Source organism: Homo sapiens, chromosome 17 (assembly GCF_000001405.40).
Source record: "Homo sapiens chromosome 17, GRCh38.p14 Primary Assembly".
NCBI lineage: Eukaryota > Metazoa > Chordata > Mammalia > Primates > Hominidae > Homo > Homo sapiens.
This window is the reverse complement of record NC_000017.11, coordinates 78,129,767-78,144,558: the sequence shown is the minus strand read 5'-3', so window position 1 is coordinate 78,144,558 and position 14,792 is coordinate 78,129,767. Positions and strand designations below refer to the sequence as shown.

Below are 14,792 nucleotides of genomic sequence, written 5' to 3'. Positions count from 1 at the left end.
CTCACTTCTGCTGAAGGCGGGTGGGGAAGGGAACTGAAGACTGAAGGGAGCCAGAGGTCACTGGGGAGCTGGCTGGCTGCCCAGGCCCTGGGCTGCTGGCAGCCTCTTGCCTGGAGGCCAGGGAAACTCACTCTTTTTCTCCACGTGGTGGTGTTCAGGGGAACCTTGAGTTAAGGCAGCTCATGAGGAGCTCTTCCTCTTCCCAGTCTGTGGGGAAGCTGGGGTCAGAGAGCGAAGGCAGACTCATGGGCCATTTTCCCCAGGCCTTGGGGGACCCAAACATCTCTCCTGCACCCCTCCGCCCCCAGGAATCACTTGTGCACCGGTCTGGCTGACCAGTTCTCTGGGCTGCGCTGCCCCTCTGTCCAGACTGCAGAGTAAGCCAGGACACAGCAGCCACGCCTCCAAGGTCACCCCCAGGTCACCCTGTGTGGAGTTTGGGGGCCCCCAAAAGCTCTCTAGCCACCCGCTTCAGGCTGATGTTCTGTGATTTTTGCTCGCAGAGGCCACTGTCCTCTGTAACAAATGCTCTTCCCAGCGTCTCCGCGTTTCCTCCCCCATACTGTGTCCCCAGAAAGGTCCTGCGGGTGGGACTCTGCTCTGGGCTGCCCTGGCCAGGATAGCGGGGTTGCAGGGGCACAGAAAGACAGGGCAGTCTCTCAGGGCTGGGCAGGGGAGGGCCCAGGAGTCCCCAAGGCTGGGGGTGGCTGGGACACCCCACCTAGGTGGGCTCTCCCACCTGGTGAGACCTTTACTGCATCTATTGCAATAAGCCCCAGAGAGTCCCTCCCTGCCCGGCAGGACTTCTAAGCTCCTGGCAGAGCCCCTTGTTAGGTCATGGCCCCCAGCTCCGTCATCTACAGAAAGTCATCCTAGCCCACGGCACCCGCTGCCAGAGCACCGGTTCCGTCTTCGCACTGGCCCCGTGTGCCCTGCATCCCAGTCTAGAGGCCTCAGATTTCCAGCTTCCCAGCCTCCACCGTGGCCCCTTTACCACATCTTTGCTCAGGCCCCCTCTCTGCCCTCAGCTCCTGTCCAAAGCCTCCCTTTCTCCAAGGTCCTGCCTGTCACTGGCTCCAAGAGCCCTCCTGTGGGAAGAAGCCCATCGCTCGAGGCCCCCTGGGCTGTCTTCCTGGGTGGTCCTGATCACAGGGGGCCCCAGGTCCACTCCCCATCATCTCCCATTTGGCTCCTTCAGGCCAGTGACCACATTGTAATAGGAGCCGCCACTGCACTTCTAGGTCCCCATGGGGACACTTCAAAAGTCACTGTATGGGCCGAGTTTGGTGGATTACACATGTAATCTCAGCACCTTGGGGGGACGAGGCAGGTGGATCACCTGAGGTCAGGAGTTAGAGACCAGCCTGGCCAACATGGTGAAACCCCATCTCTACTAAAAATACAAAAAATTAGCCGGGTGTGGTGTCGGGCACCTGTAGTCCCAGCTACTCGGGAGGCTGAGGCAGGAGGATGGCTTGAACCTGTGAGGCAGAGGTTGCAGTGAGCCAAGATCTTGCCACTGCACTCCAGCCTGGGCAACAGAAAGAGACTCTGTCCCCACCCCCCAAAAAAAAAAAAAACACACACACAAAAAGTCATTGCTCATTTAATCTTGGAGGCCACTTGGAGGAGCATGGCGTCTTTGTCTCGCCCTGGGTGAGCACACCGAGGCCCAGAGTTTGATGATTCCTTCAAGGTCTCAAAGCTTGCCTTCTTCACAGCGCTTGGTGATGCACGTGGTTGTTTCTCAGTATGGTTTGCCAAAGGGATGCTCTGATTCAGGAGGCTGAGGTGGGGCCTGGGAATGTTCATTTCTAACCTTTTCCCAGGTGATGCTGAGGCCACTGGTCCAGGGGCCACCTTTGGCCCTAAGCCGCTAATTAACAACATGAGTCACTTTCATCTGGTCCAGGCTTGTCGCCCCCTCGATGGAACACAGAGCTCCCTCTTTCCCTCTTGGCCTCATCACCAGCCCCCAGAACAGGACCCAGCACTAGCAGCACTGAATCGTGTTTGTTGGTGAACTGATGCGTCGTGATGCTGGGTGAGACAAGGACGGCCGTGGGAGAGGCGGAACTGGCCAAGTCTTTGATGACCATGTGAAGAAGCCCCCAGCCCTGAGGGCGAGAGGCCAGAGCCTCCCTGATGCTGAGTCCAGACCAGGAGTCCAGCCAGGAGCTGGTCACTGGTGGAGCTAGAGGCTTTTCAAGTGCATCCTGGGACTTCTGACCTTCCCTCCTGACAGTTCTCATCCCCAGCTGCCGGTGAGTCACCTGGGAGCTTCGAAAAGTCCCGATGCCCTGGCTGCTGGCCACACCCAGCCCAACCACATCAGAGTCGCTGGGCTGTGGCCAGCTTGTAGCAGCTACTCAGGTGTTCTCCAAGGATGAGAACCACAGATTTAGTCACTGCAGCATGGCAGGGGTGGGGGTGGGAGAACAGGAGGCTTGGAAAAGGAAACTCGAACAGGCTCAAGAATATCAGACACAGCCTTGGGAGGGGGGCCGGGCCCTGCCCTTGTGGCCAGCTGCCTCACCTGCCTGGGCCCCCGCCCGCTGCTCACGATGCAGGCCCGTACATACCACTAAGGCCCAGGCGGTGCGGGTACCTTCACCCCACGGATCCGCAAGCTTGGCTCAACCAGGGAGCCATGAAGCAGGCTGGGAGAACACGGCTCTGCAGGAAGCCAGGGCTCTGCTGAGTTTCACAAGGCAGCTCTGTGGACGTGAGGCTGCTAGGTTAGAAGACTGGACGGAGAGGATTCCCGCCAGGGAGAGGCTGACCCAGCACGCTCTCACCAGGCTTCAGTCAGCCCCTCAGTCAGGGCCAGGAGCCGCCACTAAGCCCCACACTGGGGCAGTGTGGCTCTGGAGCCCGAGTGCCTGGGTTCAAATCCCAGCTCTGGCCCTGGCTGACGCTGTGGCCTCGACTGTCTCAGGTGAAGGAAGAGTAACAGGAAGGGATGATGCAGGCAGTTTGCAGCTGGAACACAGAGCAGGGCCCCAGGCAGGCTTGCTCTAACTGTGGCCAGCTCTTTCCTTCCTTAGGAAGTGGTTCCCGGACTCTTCTGAAGGCACTTCCATCAGTAAACAACTTCTGAGCATTCCCAATAGATGTATGTGTATAAATTGCACTCATGGCTCTAAAACAAATCAGCAGAACACATTCTAGAAAAAATCGCATTCAAGAGATACTATACTAATAGATTATGTATATTATAAAAAACACAATAAAAAATAGACATTTTAAAGGGATGAGATTAAAATATAGAAAGAAAATTCCCATATGTTTTTCCTGCTGCCGCTGGGGTTGTGTGTCCATCTTTGGGGACCTCTGAGGGAGGCCCTGGAGCCACTGAGAGGGGCGGTGGTCGCCAGGGGTCTGGAAGATGGAGTAAGGAGGCCTGAAGGGGCCCCAGGGAGGCTTCGGGGAGGCAGGGGTAGGGGTTACAGCTCCGCGCCGCTGGGGAAGCGGAATCTGCGGGCGGAGGCCGGGGCACCGTGCTGTCCAGGGCAAGGGGAACGCAGTCCCGCGGCATCCACGACGGAGGGGCCCGGCCGCGGGGCCTGGTGGCCCGGGGAGCCAGGGCATGGGCATCCGGGGCAGAAGGACTGCGGGCGCGAAGCTTGGGAGGCAGGGTACTTGGGGCCCGGAGAGTCGCTCGGGCCTGGCTCCGGCAGCAGTCGCGACAGGTCCTCCACCAGGTGCCACTTCTCCTGAACCTGCTGTGAGGAGAACAAGTGGCGAGTTGCGACAGGCGCTGCTTCCCACGAGCGGGTGTGAGGACAGCAGCGGCAGCAACTCTGCGGCCCATGGGCCAGCCCGCACCCAAAGTAGCCAGAGGCCACGCCCCGCCCGAGGCCACGCCCCGCTCGAGGCCACACCCTCCCAGGGCCACGCCCCACCAGGGTCCCGCCCCGATGCAGCCCTAGACCACGCCCTCAGGAGTCCCGTCCACAACGCAGCCAGATGCCACTCCTTCCACGTCCCCGCCCGAGACCACGACCTCCAAGGGCCCCGCCCCCAACGCACCCTGAGACCACGCCCCACTAGGGTCCCACCCCATGCAGATCTAGACCACGCCCGCTAAGAGTCCGTCCCCAAGCAGCCCAAGGCCACGCCCCCGGTAGAGGCCCCACCCTGAGGCCACGCCTTAGCCAGGTCACTGTTCCTCCCTCAGCTCCATTAAGCCCCTGGCCCCAAGCCTAAAGTCGTAATTTTTTTTTTTTTTTGTGGAAACTGGGTGTCTCCCTGTTGCCCAGGCAGGATTGCAGTAGCAAGACCACAGCCCACTGCAGCCTGGACCTCTCAGGCTCAAGCGATCTTCCCACCTCAGCCTCCGGAATAGCTGTGACCACAGGCACGCGCCACCACGCCCAGCTCATTTATTTGATTTTTAGTAGAGACGAGGTCTTGCTATGTTGCTCAGCCTGGTCTCAAACTCCTGAACTCAAGCACTCTTCACGCCTCGGCGTGAGCCACTGCACTCAGCCATGTTATCCTTTTTTCCTTTTTTGAGACGGAGTTTTGCTCTTGTTGCCCAGGCTGGAGTGCAATGGGGCGGTCTCAGCTCACTGCAACCTCCGCCCCTCCGCCTCCTGAGTTTAAACGATTCTCCTGCCTCAGCCTCCCTAGTAGCTGGGATTACAGGCGCCCACCATCACGCCCAGCTAATTTTTTGTATTTTTAGTACAGACGGGGTTTCACTATGTTGGCCAGGCTGGTCTTGAACCCCTGACCTCAGGCAATCCACTCACCTCGGCCTCCCAAAGTGCTGGATTACAGGCACGAACCACCGTGCCCGGTTTTTTTTTTTTTTTTTTTTTTTTTAAGTAGAGACGGGGTTTCGCTATTTTGGCCAGGCTGGTCTTGAACTCCTGACCTCAGGTGATCCACCCACCTCGGCCTCTGAAAGTGCTGGGATTACAGGCGTGAGTCACCACGCCCGGCCACATTCTCCTTTTAAAAAATTAATTACTTATTTTTGGTGGAGACCAGGGTCTTGCTTTGTTGCCCAGGCTGGTTTTAACTCATGGCTTCAAGTGATCCGATCCTCCTGCCTGGGCCTCCAAAGCGTTGGGATTACAGGCAAAGGCCCAGCCCCTAAGGTCATGTACTTACCAGGTCTGGCTCCTGGTCTCAGGAGCCCGAGCTGTTCTCTTCCTCCCCTTCCCCGTCTTCACTCTCAGCCTGAGGCCACGCCCTCCAGTGGGAAGAACCCACCTGACCCGCTCAGACGTGTTCTAGGCCCTCGGCCACACATAGGGAAGGGTTTCCACTGAAGCTGCTGTCCCCTCACCAGCCCCGAGGACACTCACCCACACCAGCTGCTTCCGGAGCCTGTGGATGGCCCTGGCATTGGCCTGGGTCTGGGAGACGCACACCGTCAGGACAAGGCTTGGGTGGGAAGGGGATTCGTGGTCAGTTGCCCCTGGGGCCACAGGCGCCTCTCCCTGACTTCCTCTCTCCCCACCTCAATCTCTACAATACGCGGTACTGGGGTCTTCTCACTGCACACTGCTGTATCTGAGGATGGGACCCTCCTCTCCTTCCTCGCAGAGCCCCTCATCCCCTCCCCTCTGGCACAGCAATACCAATAGCTCAGCAGCTGCAGCCACCCAGACACGGTGCTTCCCCAGTGATCCTGCAATCCCCATGGCAGCCCAGAGGGTGGGCCCAGGAGGTTCCTGCTTTTCAGAGGCCCCTGCTTCCCTTGGCTTTCTGCGTCTGGCTCCTGGTTGGGGGTGCACAGGCTCACCACCCCCATGGAAGGAAGGACCTCCCCCTCCAGGTGTCCCCTCCCATGGCCCCGGCTGCCCTGAGAACCTGAGCATGATGAGGAGGGGGAAGCTGAAGGCGTGGGAGCCCAGGTAGTGGAGGGCACGCTGGCCAATGGGCGGGAGCCCAAGGGCCACCAGCTCCGGGACCACTTGCCAGGGTGCTGAGTAGTTGGTGAAGAGGCCGCAGTCCCAGGAGGAGTGGATGCTGGCGAGAGATGGCCAAGTGGGGCTGGCATCAGGGTCCTGGGTGAGAAACTGCCCCTGCCAGCCTCTGGGTGCCCCCCTCCTCTTCCCCTCACCTGCTGACCACATAGCCCAGGGGCACTGCAGCCAGAAGCAGGCCCAGGAGGAGCACTAGCTGGAAGAAGAAGGTGGAGCTGGAGGCACGGAAGGGCCGCGAAGATGCCCTGGAGTTCTTCAGGAGGGTGTACTGGGGGCGCAAGCAATAGCAACCAGGAGTCAGCGAGTTATGCAGACCCCAGGGGGCTGACACCCAGGGAAGGGGGCAGGAGCAGGAGCAGGAGGCGAGCCCAGCTCAAGGCATCCACCCAGAGGCACGAACCCCATACCCCCCAGCCATGAGCCGTCACCTTCTTGATGTAGAAGGTGAGGAAGAGGAAGACGCTATTCAGCAGGGGCAGCAGGGGGCAGTAGAAGAGGCCCATCCAGGTGACCGTCTGCCCCGCCACGATGTCCAGCACATTCTTGGGGACCAGGAACTCCTCCCGTTCCAGCCAGGCCCAGAACCGGCCTGAGAACCGGTCCACCAGCAGCCTGCAGGGATGGGAGGGTCCAGGTACTCACCACTCCAGACAGATGCGTGGGCTGTATTGGTCATGGCCACAGCCTGCCACTTACTCCCGGGCTCCACACTGGACCCGCTCACCCTTGGCTGTAGCCACTGGCCACCCCCAACATGCTCGCGGCACCCCCGCCCTTCTGGAGGTGTCACCCCGGGGCTCACCTCCGAGGCAGGGTGACCAGGAAGGCGAAGGCCACGGTGAGGAGGAAGTTGAAGATACTCAGCTTGTACAGCTCCTCCCCCACGGAGTTCTCCCAGCACTGGGGTGCAGGGGAAGGGGACCCGTCACCACTCACGGCCACCCCGGCCCTTCCTTCCCTTAGCCTCCTGTGAGGGTTTCTGTGGTGCAGGTGCCTTGCCTGGTGTCTGATAGAATCGTTAGGTTGAAACCCAGGCCTTGAGGATGGGATTAGAGCAGGAAGCCCCACAGCCAGGGCAGCCACACTACACCATGTGGCAGCAGTGGCGCCCCCTGGAGGTGTGCGGCGGTGCAGGCAGCCCTGCTCACAGCTTCTCTCAAAGGTGACTAAAGGGGCAGGAACAGGGCTCTGCACAGTTTGAGGTGAGCTTTTTGGGGAGAAGGAAGGGAGGGACAGGCCCCGCCGGGCTGCCAGCCACCTGATAGTCACAAACGTTGTAGCCGTAGGACTCACAGCTGCTCTTGTCTCTGCCAATGCACAGTATGGTCTGACCCAGGGAGACGGAGAACATCCCCAAGCTGGCCAGCTTCAGCACCACGCACCTGGGGGCAGGGACCTTGTCAGGTGGAGGGGCCCAGGCACATGGGCACCGGGCTCTACCCAGGCTATAGGTGTGGCTGATGTCCGAGTGGGATCATGTTGTGTCCTGGGCCCAGCCTCCTTCCAACCTGCTCTGTCTGTGGCAATGTGGTCCAAAGTGCGTTCTCAGAGTCCGAGTCTCCAGGCGATTCATGGGAAAAAGGGTTCTGTGTTTTCGTTTTGTTTCAAGACCGAGTCTCACTCTGTCACCCAGGCAGGAGTTCAGTGTTGTGACCTCGGCTCACTGCCACCTCTGCCTCCTGGGTTCAAGCGATTTCTGACTAAATTTTGTATTTTGAGTACAGACAGGGTTTCGCCATGTTGGCCAGGCTGGTCTCGAACTCCTGACCTCAGGTGATCCACCCGCCTTGGCCTCCCAAAGTGCTGGGATTACAGGTGTGGGCCACGGCGCCTGGCCAAGGGTTCTGTTTTTAGATCAGTTTGAGAAACACTGCACAGTCCAGCCATGTTCCCTCATGCCTGGTGTGGAGAGGCACATGCAGCAAGCCCTGCGGTGGAGAAGCCTGTGGCCTTTTCAGGATCCTGACTGCAGGCGAGCTCCTCCTTTCCTCCGCCGCCTATGGACATTGAAGCCCACTGACACAAGCTTGCATGTCATAAACACGTGCCACACATATGTACTGCACAATGCATGACCAGACCAAATAGGTGATTGTCTAAACGAAACATCATCACATGCATGTTATCTGTTTTTGCTTTTTTTTTTTGAGATAGGGTCTCACTCCATTGCCTAGGCTGGAGTGCAGTGACGCGATCACAGCTCCCTGTAGCCTTGACCTCCTGGGCTTAAGTGATCCTCCCACCTCAGCTTCTCTAGTAGCTAGGACTGTGTGTCCTAGTCTTTCATCATGCCCAGTTAATTTTTTTGTATTTTTTGTAGAGACGGGGTCTTGCCATGTTGCCCAGGCCGGTCTCAAACTCCTGGGATCAAGTGATTCTCCCATCTTGGCCTTCCAAAGTGTTGGCCTTTACAGGCGTGAGTCACTGTGCCTGGTTGCGTGTTATCTCTAAGGGTGAACATTCCCACTGCTGATATGGGGCTACAGAGTGGCTGGGAACAGTGGTTCTCCTGTTGAGGGAGCTAGGGGTAGGTGAGAGCTTTTTTTGTTTTGTTTTCTTTTTTGAGATGAAGTCACACTCTGTCACCCAGGCTGGAGTGTAGTGGCGCAATCTCTGCTCACTGCAACATCTGTCTCCTGGGTTCGAGTGATTCTCCTGCCTCAGCTTCCCGGGTAGCTGGGATTACAGGTGTGCACCACCACACCTGGCTGATTTTTGTGTTTTTAGTAGAGACAGGGTTTCACCATGTTGGCCAGGCTGGTCTCGAACTCCTGACCTCAGGTGATCCACCTTGGCCTCCCAAAGTTCTGGGATTACAGGCGTGAGCCACCATGCCCGGCCTCAAAAAATAAAGTTTCAAAGCAAACCAAACACAGCTGACTTTGAGGAAGCAGAGGGAAAAGCAGTTAGGGCAAGTGGTGACTGAGGGTGGCGTGAGGGAGAGAAGCCAGTGGGAGCTCAGGTGGGCTTTACACAAGAATTTCTGCAGCTGGATGAGGGGTGGAGAAGTAGGGGGTCTAGACAGGACCTAAGTGCTGAGACAGAAGATGGCAGAACCTGGGAGTGGTAGTCCCAGCTGCTCCGGCGGGAGGATCGCTTGAGCCCAGGAGGTCGAGGGCTTGCTTTTGAACTTGCACCTGGCAGGCACGATGAGCTTGACTTTGGCTGGGCGCTTCACTCATGTGAACCTCAGTTTCCTCATCCCTCAAGGGGGATGAGGATGGTCTGGACTTCACGGGTCACGTGAGGGTTGTCCAGGTAAGGGGAGTAAACCCTCGGCATGTAGAAGCTCTGCATGTCCCGTGTTGCTGGTTTTCCTGTGTGCAAAGCCCATTCCCAGCACCCCTGGCCACAGTCCCTTGCTCCACTGAATGGCCGGAGCTTGGTCCAGACTGGCGGCTTCCTTTGGAGGTGGGGGATTGGAAAGCCTTAGACCTGGGGCCCTGAGGTCGTGTGCTGTGAGGTGTGTACCTGCCTTCCCTTGGGCCACTAGTGAAGGGGGAAGCCTCTCAGCTGGGGACCCCAGGTGCCAGGTGACAACCAAAAGAGAGCAGCAGGATGCAGACTTGTTACATGCCCACTTGTCCCCACCAAGGGTGGCACTCACCAGATCAGAGTGAGGTTGACCTCCGTGTTGGGAGGGTAGTTCTCCAGCTGGACCAGAAATGTGAACAGCAGGGGACCCAGGAAGTTGACCAGGGCGATGACCCCAGGGGGCAGGTACTGGAGCAGCAGAAACAGGGACTCCTGCGGGAAAAGGCAGGTCAGGGGAGCCCGCGTGCTGGGGGGCCCCTGTCTGCTCCCCGCCCCCCACAGTGCCCTAAAGTGTAACTCTGGGGCAGGCCCAGAATAGGGTCGCCTGTAAGCTATTCCCTGCAGCAGCCTGGCAGTTGGCGGGAATATCCAGTGGGAGCCCGCCTGCCTTGGCCGTGACCTGTGGCCACGACCGATTGAACCTCTCTGAGCCTCGGTTTCCTCATCTGTAAAATGGGATCATCCTGTCTCACCCCCGCAGTTCTGGCCAGGATTAAATGAATGCAGTTGCCTGACACCTCCTTGTTGTCCTGTGAGTACTTGGTAGCCCAGAAGATGGCGCTGATGGCCCCAACCACCAGGAGCCCGTTGAGTACGTTGACCCGCAGGTAGGAGAGCAGGCGGCAGGCCGTCTGGGCCCGGGTCTGCTGCTGCATCAGCTGGAAGCGACGGCCCTCCTCCAGCTCCACCTGCCCGGAAGGGTGGGGACAGAGGCAGCTGCAGGCGGGGTGGGCATGGGAGGAAAGGGTGCAGGAAACGCTCTCACACACAGTCACAACCATTCACGCTCACATACACAGTCACAAACTCTCACACTGTCATGCTCCCATAGACACTCAGATTCACACATTCACAGGCGTGCTCGCCATCACCCATTCAGTCACATGTGCCCTCACACTCGGCCACACATGCACACACATTCACACGCTCTCCATCACGCTCCCACAGGCTCCCTCCCACACACGCTCACACACACTGGCACGGTCGCACTTGCTCGCACACACCTGGAACACGTGGCTCTCACGCACTCGCTCCCATATACCTGGAGCTTGTGGATCTCAGGCACTCACTCGTGCACACACCTTGAACTCGTTGCTGATCTCATGCTTCTTGATGGTGGCTGCTTCCTGCACCCGGATGCAGAAGTCCCATGAGGAGAAGACCTTGGCGCTGAGAGGCGCCTGATAGCCCTGACCCAGCAGAGTCTTCTGCGGCAGCCCCTTCACCATCCTGCGGGGCAGGAGACCAGGGGCTGCTGGAGGAGGGGCACCTCTACCATCCAGCCTCAGCCTTGGCTCGGCTCTGGGTCTGGGAAGGCCCCTGCAGCCCCAGGTGCAGGTCCTGGTGAGTGAGGAGTCGGGGTAGGGGGCGGTGGCCCTGTTCCTAAGGTTTGCGGCCAGAGCCTGGGCTGAGGAAGCACCCAGGAGCCTGCTGTGCCGGGCCATGGGCCTTCCTGCCAATGGGAGGGTACCCTGCCAAGGAAGGGGTGATCAGGGAAGATTCCCTGGGGAAGGGGTGAAGGTGTGGACCTCGCTCTCACCGCCGCAGAGTCCCACAGAAGCAGAGGAGCAGGCAGGCCAGCGGGCTGAGGAGGTAGGCCAGGCGGATGCTGTACACGGAGCTGCTCTCCGGCCCCACTCGGTACGCACCGTAGAAGAGATAGGTGTTGGTGAAGGCCTGGGGACAGCGACGAAGATACCCAGCCCGGGTGAGCACCAGGCTCTGCTCAAGTGCTTTCCATATATGATCTTGTTAGCCCCCGTGCAATCCCCCCATCAGGTAGGGAGTGTCCCGTCTTACAAGGGCCCACAGAGGTTCGGCAACGTGCCCACGGTCACAGGGCTTTGAGAAATAGAGCCACGACTGGAACCCAGGAACCCCATTGGTGACCACTCGATGGCTTCCCAGGATGAGGGTGGGGAAGTGCTTCTCCCAGAGGCCGGGGCACTTTTCCCCCTTTGTCCCTGGCACCGCCTACACCAGCTGGGCTCTGAGGACCACGGGCATGTGTCCATGAGTCTATGTTGGGCACAGTGGCCTCAGCCTCTCTCTAACCCCACCACCGGCCAGGCCAGTCTGTCTAGGTAAGACCATCCCCTGAGGAGCCGAAATGTCCCTGGAGGAGCAGAGGTCCTCTTAGACTTGTGTCCCCTGAAGCCAGTTCCCTGGGTCTCCCAGACTCTGGACCATAGCCGGGACAGACCTCACTCACCCTGCCAGTCAAAACATGCCAAAGTTGATTGTGGAACCTCAAAACGCCAGGCGGGGACTGGCGGCTACCAGGGCACTGGAGGGCTGTTGAGGAGGAAGGGGGTCAATAGAGAGGGATCCCCAAGGCATAGGTGAGGCTCTGCGGCTACTGCTCTATAACCCCCAACCCTGGGGAGGCCTGGGCAGGGGGCTGAGGATGTGCCAAAGGCGTGCCCCACACAAGGCGAGGTCAGGGAGAGAGAGCCCCGGGGCCTGCACGGCAGGACCACGCCCAGCGTTGTCGCCACGCTCTGGGCCCTGGGCCAGCCCCCCCATGGCGCAGGTGGGCACCGGAGCACTTCCCCTGGTGGGCCTCACACTCACTCAAGTTCAGGGTGGGGCCTGGGTCAGGGGGGCGGAGCCAGACCAGGGGCAGCAGCACGAAGCTTGCGGTGAGCAGCAGGCTCAGCAGGTTGAGTAGCAGCAGGAAGCGGAGGAAGGTGAAGTAGGACCGAATTCCTGTGCCGAAGAGGCCTGCAGTGGGAGAGCAGGGTGGGTCAGGGAGGCCGGGGCCGGGGCTGGGGCCGCGCTGAGAGTCCAAGGGCGGGCCCACCGGACGGCGTGGGGTGCCCGCCAGGCTCCCACCCGCCCGAGTCCGGAGGTACCGCTGACAGTCACCTGGGGGTGCTGCGTGGGCCCGAGGTTTGCGGTGCCTGCGGGCGGAAGGGGTGGGAGGGGGGAGGGGCCGATTGGTCGGGGGACCCGGGTGAAGGCAGGTGGGATGATGCCACTCTCCTTTTTCCGATCTGGGCAGTGGGGCTCCAGAGAGGGCAAGGGGAGGTGCGGGTCGCGCGGGTCCTACCCCCGATCTCGTAGAGCGCCCCCTCCCAGAGCCCAAGGCCCCGGGCCAGCCGCTGCGCTGCCTCCCGCAGGCGCCTTTCCACCGTCTGCCGCCGGCGCTGCCACCGCTGCCAGCGCAAGGTCTGCACCCCCGCGGGCTCCCGCAGCTGCCTGGACGGGGGTGGTGACAGGGGCGCCCCTGAGTCACCCGCCCTGCCCACCCGGGCCAAGCAGACGGGGTGCTCCCACACCATCCGACGGGGCAGCCTCGCAGCACCCCCCCCACGCACCGTCTGGCGCCCGCGTGGCACCCACCAGATGAGGCGCTTGTCCATCATGGCATAGGGCAGCCCGCGCACGGGCGTCCCAGAGCCGCGCAGCCGCTCCATCTCTGCCTCCCACAGCTCCTCCGGCTCCGGCACCCCAGGGGCCCGCTCCGATGACACCGACCGCGGCAGCAGCATCTCGGCGGGCACGGGTAGAGGCTGGGGCGCCGGGCTGCCGGTGGGGGGGATATGAGTCCCCGGTTGGATGAGCCTTAAGGCCTTGGCTATGGCCTCTGTGCACGCTGGGCTGGGGGCGGGCCCTTCCGTCCCCTCTGCGCCGGCGTCGGGGCCTGGGCTCCTGCAGCCCTAGGGTTCACTTGCCCGGGTCTGCCGCTCTGCCACCTCCGGGGCTCAGAAATGAGAGAGAATCCTGCTGCGGTCGAATTCGGGCCCAGCCCCGCTCCAACTCTCAGAGGGACACACAGCCACGGCCTCAGTCTCCCCATCTGTCAAATGGGGTGAAAGATCCAAAGGGCACAGAAAGTCTGGACCGGCACAGGCAAAGAAAGCCAAGACCTGCTGCACCCCGCATCCACCTGTGCCTGGGCCCACCGTCACCCCAAGGAGAGACAATTCCCTCTCTTCTCCACGTGGCAGTTTGCCCTTCCGGAAGAGCCTGTGTCCCAAACCCCACAGTTCCTGGGACTCGGCATCTGCCACATCTGACTCTGGATGTCGGGGGACCCCCTTCTGTCTTCCTTCTTGTGGTCCAGCCTCCAGTCCCAGGTACCCCGCGAGCCCCTGATGAGGACCTGTGGCTACAGCCCCAGCCGTGGGGACAGGAGCAGGGACCCACTGCTACCCTTGCAGGGCTCTAGCTGGCCCCCACAGCCCCTCACCCTCTGCATTCTCCCTCCACTGGACATCCAGCTCACCTGGGGACCTAGGGACCAAGTCCCTGGAGGAGTCCCCTTCTCAGACGACTCCTGCCAAGCCAGGCAGGGTGGTGAGGGAGCCCAGAGGAGGGGTCATATGACAGGAAACCCAGCTTCCCTCTCCACTACCTCCCTCCTCCCCTCTCACCCCATGGTTTCCTCTGCTTTAAACTGAGGCCAAGCAGGCACTTCCTGTGGGCCCCTGAGATGCAGAGGTGAAGGTGACAGGCGTAGGCCACTTGGCCTCCCAGGGAGCTCTGTGCATGCTGGGCTGCGGGTGGCCCACCCTTCCCCTCTGCACAGGAGTCAGGGCCTGGTCTCCTGCAGCCCTAGGGTCCACTGGTCCGGGTCTGCCGCCTGGCTGCCTCCAGGGATGTCCAGCCTGCAGCTGAGGCCCTCTCTGTTCAACTCCTTCCAGCCTGGATAGGCAGGACTTGACCTCGAGGCCTGAGCTGGGAGCCTGACATGGGTGGGGATGGGAACGGTGGGGGCACAGGGGCCAAACTCTTTATCTGCCGGCCTCACCCTGGAGGGTGTGATAATGACAGGATGGTGGGCTCCCCAGAACCTGGCTGCTGGGTTTCCAGATACTCTTGGTGTTACTGCTGTACTTCCAGCCCCTGTCATTGGCGTTATGGTTGTGCCAAGACCCAGGCCTAGCACCTGGCCGGTAGTAAGTGCTCAGGAATTGGCTCCATTCATGCTCTCCCAGGCTAGATGTTTAAGACATATCTTTGCCAATTCTCTGTCCTTGGGCCCCTGGGAAGCCCGCAGCCCTTCCTCTCTGCTCCCTCTCTACCTGCTATAGGGCCCAGTCATCTCAGGTCTGAATGTTCATAGCTTTTCTGCCTCTCTGCCCACCTCCTTCCTGGTTTCCAGAGTCCTTTCTGTGTGTCAGGCGCAAGCTATGTGCTGGTGCTGGGCACACAGTGGGCTGGGGTAGGAGGGGGCACAGAACCACAGATGTACATGTCAATAGGAAGTGGTAGGTGCTCCACCAGGGTTCAATCTGGGGAGGCTCCCCAGAGGAGGTGGCATTCATGCAAATTCAGTGTGGGTATGCAGGGAGGGGGAAGCAGTGGGAG

At 60.3% G+C, this 14,792-nt stretch overlaps 2 protein-coding genes across 8 annotated transcripts in view, besides 19 other annotated features; one reads left to right on the top strand and one right to left on the bottom strand.

Annotated features, from left to right (window-relative positions):
* Nucleotides 599-668: a silencer, noted in NCBI's record as "silent region_9046". NCBI's record gives its function as "represses an Ori minimal core promoter by ATAC-STARR-seq in GM12878 lymphoblastoid cells {active_cell/tissue: GM12878}" and the evidence as "EXISTENCE:reporter gene assay evidence [ECO:0000049][PMID:35858748]".
* Nucleotides 1,591-13,788, bottom strand: TMC8 (transmembrane channel like 8). Its single transcript, NM_152468.5, has 16 exons — nucleotides 13,708-13,788; nucleotides 12,822-13,278; nucleotides 12,529-12,677; nucleotides 12,051-12,200; nucleotides 11,689-11,771; nucleotides 11,017-11,153; nucleotides 10,559-10,706; nucleotides 9,995-10,165; nucleotides 9,550-9,689; nucleotides 7,201-7,324; nucleotides 6,745-6,842; nucleotides 6,371-6,554; nucleotides 6,080-6,210; nucleotides 5,827-5,985; nucleotides 5,319-5,397; nucleotides 1,591-3,725 (listed from the first exon to the last, which is right to left on the bottom strand). Exons 2-16 carry the CDS (start codon nucleotides 12,968-12,970, stop codon nucleotides 3,447-3,449), a joined length of 2,181 nt encoding a protein of 726 aa, NP_689681.2. The 5' UTR covers nucleotides 12,971-13,278; nucleotides 13,708-13,788; the 3' UTR covers nucleotides 1,591-3,446.
* Nucleotides 1,937-2,231: a silencer, noted in NCBI's record as "tiled region #9330; HepG2 Repressive non-DNase unmatched - State 20:ReprD, and K562 Repressive non-DNase unmatched - State 14:Gen5'". NCBI's record gives its function as "represses a minimal TATA promoter and a strong SV40 promoter by Sharpr-MPRA in HepG2 and K562 cells {active_cell/tissue: HepG2 | K562}" and the evidence as "EXISTENCE:reporter gene assay evidence [ECO:0000049][PMID:27701403]".
* Nucleotides 1,937-3,145: a biological region, named in NCBI's record as "CDK7 strongly-dependent group 2 enhancer GRCh37_chr17:76137495-76138694".
* Nucleotides 1,946-3,145: an enhancer, noted in NCBI's record as "CDK7 strongly-dependent group 2 enhancer chr17:76137495-76138694 (GRCh37/hg19 assembly coordinates)". NCBI's record gives its function as "activates an origin of replication core promoter dependent on BRD2, BRD4, P300/CBP, MED14 and CDK7 cofactors, with strong dependence on CDK7, by STARR-seq in HCT116 cells {active_cell/tissue: HCT116}" and the evidence as "EXISTENCE:reporter gene assay evidence [ECO:0000049][PMID:35650434]".
* Nucleotides 2,224-2,303: an enhancer, noted in NCBI's record as "active region_12866". NCBI's record gives its function as "activates an Ori minimal core promoter by ATAC-STARR-seq in GM12878 lymphoblastoid cells {active_cell/tissue: GM12878}" and the evidence as "EXISTENCE:reporter gene assay evidence [ECO:0000049][PMID:35858748]".
* Nucleotides 3,753-3,942: a silencer, noted in NCBI's record as "silent region_9045". NCBI's record gives its function as "represses an Ori minimal core promoter by ATAC-STARR-seq in GM12878 lymphoblastoid cells {active_cell/tissue: GM12878}" and the evidence as "EXISTENCE:reporter gene assay evidence [ECO:0000049][PMID:35858748]".
* Nucleotides 4,782-5,421: an enhancer, noted in NCBI's record as "H3K4me1 hESC enhancer chr17:76135219-76135858 (GRCh37/hg19 assembly coordinates)". NCBI's record gives its function as "activates a minimal SCP1, AML or CMV promoter by ChIP-STARR-seq in naive H9 embryonic stem cells {active_cell/tissue: H9 hESC(naive)}" and the evidence as "EXISTENCE:reporter gene assay evidence [ECO:0000049][PMID:30033119]".
* Nucleotides 5,536-5,705: an enhancer, noted in NCBI's record as "active region_12865". NCBI's record gives its function as "activates an Ori minimal core promoter by ATAC-STARR-seq in GM12878 lymphoblastoid cells {active_cell/tissue: GM12878}" and the evidence as "EXISTENCE:reporter gene assay evidence [ECO:0000049][PMID:35858748]".
* Nucleotides 6,256-6,425: an enhancer, noted in NCBI's record as "active region_12864". NCBI's record gives its function as "activates an Ori minimal core promoter by ATAC-STARR-seq in GM12878 lymphoblastoid cells {active_cell/tissue: GM12878}" and the evidence as "EXISTENCE:reporter gene assay evidence [ECO:0000049][PMID:35858748]".
* Nucleotides 6,606-6,715: an enhancer, noted in NCBI's record as "active region_12863". NCBI's record gives its function as "activates an Ori minimal core promoter by ATAC-STARR-seq in GM12878 lymphoblastoid cells {active_cell/tissue: GM12878}" and the evidence as "EXISTENCE:reporter gene assay evidence [ECO:0000049][PMID:35858748]".
* Nucleotides 6,706-7,347: an enhancer, noted in NCBI's record as "H3K4me1 hESC enhancer chr17:76133293-76133934 (GRCh37/hg19 assembly coordinates)". NCBI's record gives its function as "activates a minimal SCP1, AML or CMV promoter by ChIP-STARR-seq in naive H9 embryonic stem cells {active_cell/tissue: H9 hESC(naive)}" and the evidence as "EXISTENCE:reporter gene assay evidence [ECO:0000049][PMID:30033119]".
* Nucleotides 6,916-6,965: an enhancer, noted in NCBI's record as "active region_12862". NCBI's record gives its function as "activates an Ori minimal core promoter by ATAC-STARR-seq in GM12878 lymphoblastoid cells {active_cell/tissue: GM12878}" and the evidence as "EXISTENCE:reporter gene assay evidence [ECO:0000049][PMID:35858748]".
* Nucleotides 7,096-7,185: an enhancer, noted in NCBI's record as "active region_12861". NCBI's record gives its function as "activates an Ori minimal core promoter by ATAC-STARR-seq in GM12878 lymphoblastoid cells {active_cell/tissue: GM12878}" and the evidence as "EXISTENCE:reporter gene assay evidence [ECO:0000049][PMID:35858748]".
* Nucleotides 9,766-10,291: an enhancer, noted in NCBI's record as "H3K4me1 hESC enhancer chr17:76130349-76130874 (GRCh37/hg19 assembly coordinates)". NCBI's record gives its function as "activates a minimal SCP1, AML or CMV promoter by ChIP-STARR-seq in naive H9 embryonic stem cells {active_cell/tissue: H9 hESC(naive)}" and the evidence as "EXISTENCE:reporter gene assay evidence [ECO:0000049][PMID:30033119]".
* Nucleotides 9,942-10,051: an enhancer, noted in NCBI's record as "active region_12860". NCBI's record gives its function as "activates an Ori minimal core promoter by ATAC-STARR-seq in GM12878 lymphoblastoid cells {active_cell/tissue: GM12878}" and the evidence as "EXISTENCE:reporter gene assay evidence [ECO:0000049][PMID:35858748]".
* Nucleotides 10,292-10,817: an enhancer, noted in NCBI's record as "H3K4me1 hESC enhancer chr17:76129823-76130348 (GRCh37/hg19 assembly coordinates)". NCBI's record gives its function as "activates a minimal SCP1, AML or CMV promoter by ChIP-STARR-seq in naive H9 embryonic stem cells {active_cell/tissue: H9 hESC(naive)}" and the evidence as "EXISTENCE:reporter gene assay evidence [ECO:0000049][PMID:30033119]".
* Nucleotides 12,081-12,470: a silencer, noted in NCBI's record as "silent region_9044". NCBI's record gives its function as "represses an Ori minimal core promoter by ATAC-STARR-seq in GM12878 lymphoblastoid cells {active_cell/tissue: GM12878}" and the evidence as "EXISTENCE:reporter gene assay evidence [ECO:0000049][PMID:35858748]".
* The window catches only part of TMC6 (transmembrane channel like 6), a 25,031-nt gene continuing 22,370 nt past the window's right edge, over nucleotides 12,132-14,792 (top strand). For 6 of the 7 annotated variants that reach the window (XM_047435260.1, XM_047435269.1, XM_047435253.1 and 3 more), the window contains exon 1: nucleotides 12,132-12,218. The gene's annotated coding sequence lies outside the window, so the exon portion shown is untranslated. Of the gene's footprint in view, nucleotides 13,559-14,792 lie in introns of all 7 variants that reach the window. The other variant, XM_024450556.2, reaches the window with a different exon arrangement.
* Nucleotides 12,581-13,100: a silencer, noted in NCBI's record as "silent region_9043". NCBI's record gives its function as "represses an Ori minimal core promoter by ATAC-STARR-seq in GM12878 lymphoblastoid cells {active_cell/tissue: GM12878}" and the evidence as "EXISTENCE:reporter gene assay evidence [ECO:0000049][PMID:35858748]".
* Nucleotides 13,581-13,710: an enhancer, noted in NCBI's record as "active region_12859". NCBI's record gives its function as "activates an Ori minimal core promoter by ATAC-STARR-seq in GM12878 lymphoblastoid cells {active_cell/tissue: GM12878}" and the evidence as "EXISTENCE:reporter gene assay evidence [ECO:0000049][PMID:35858748]".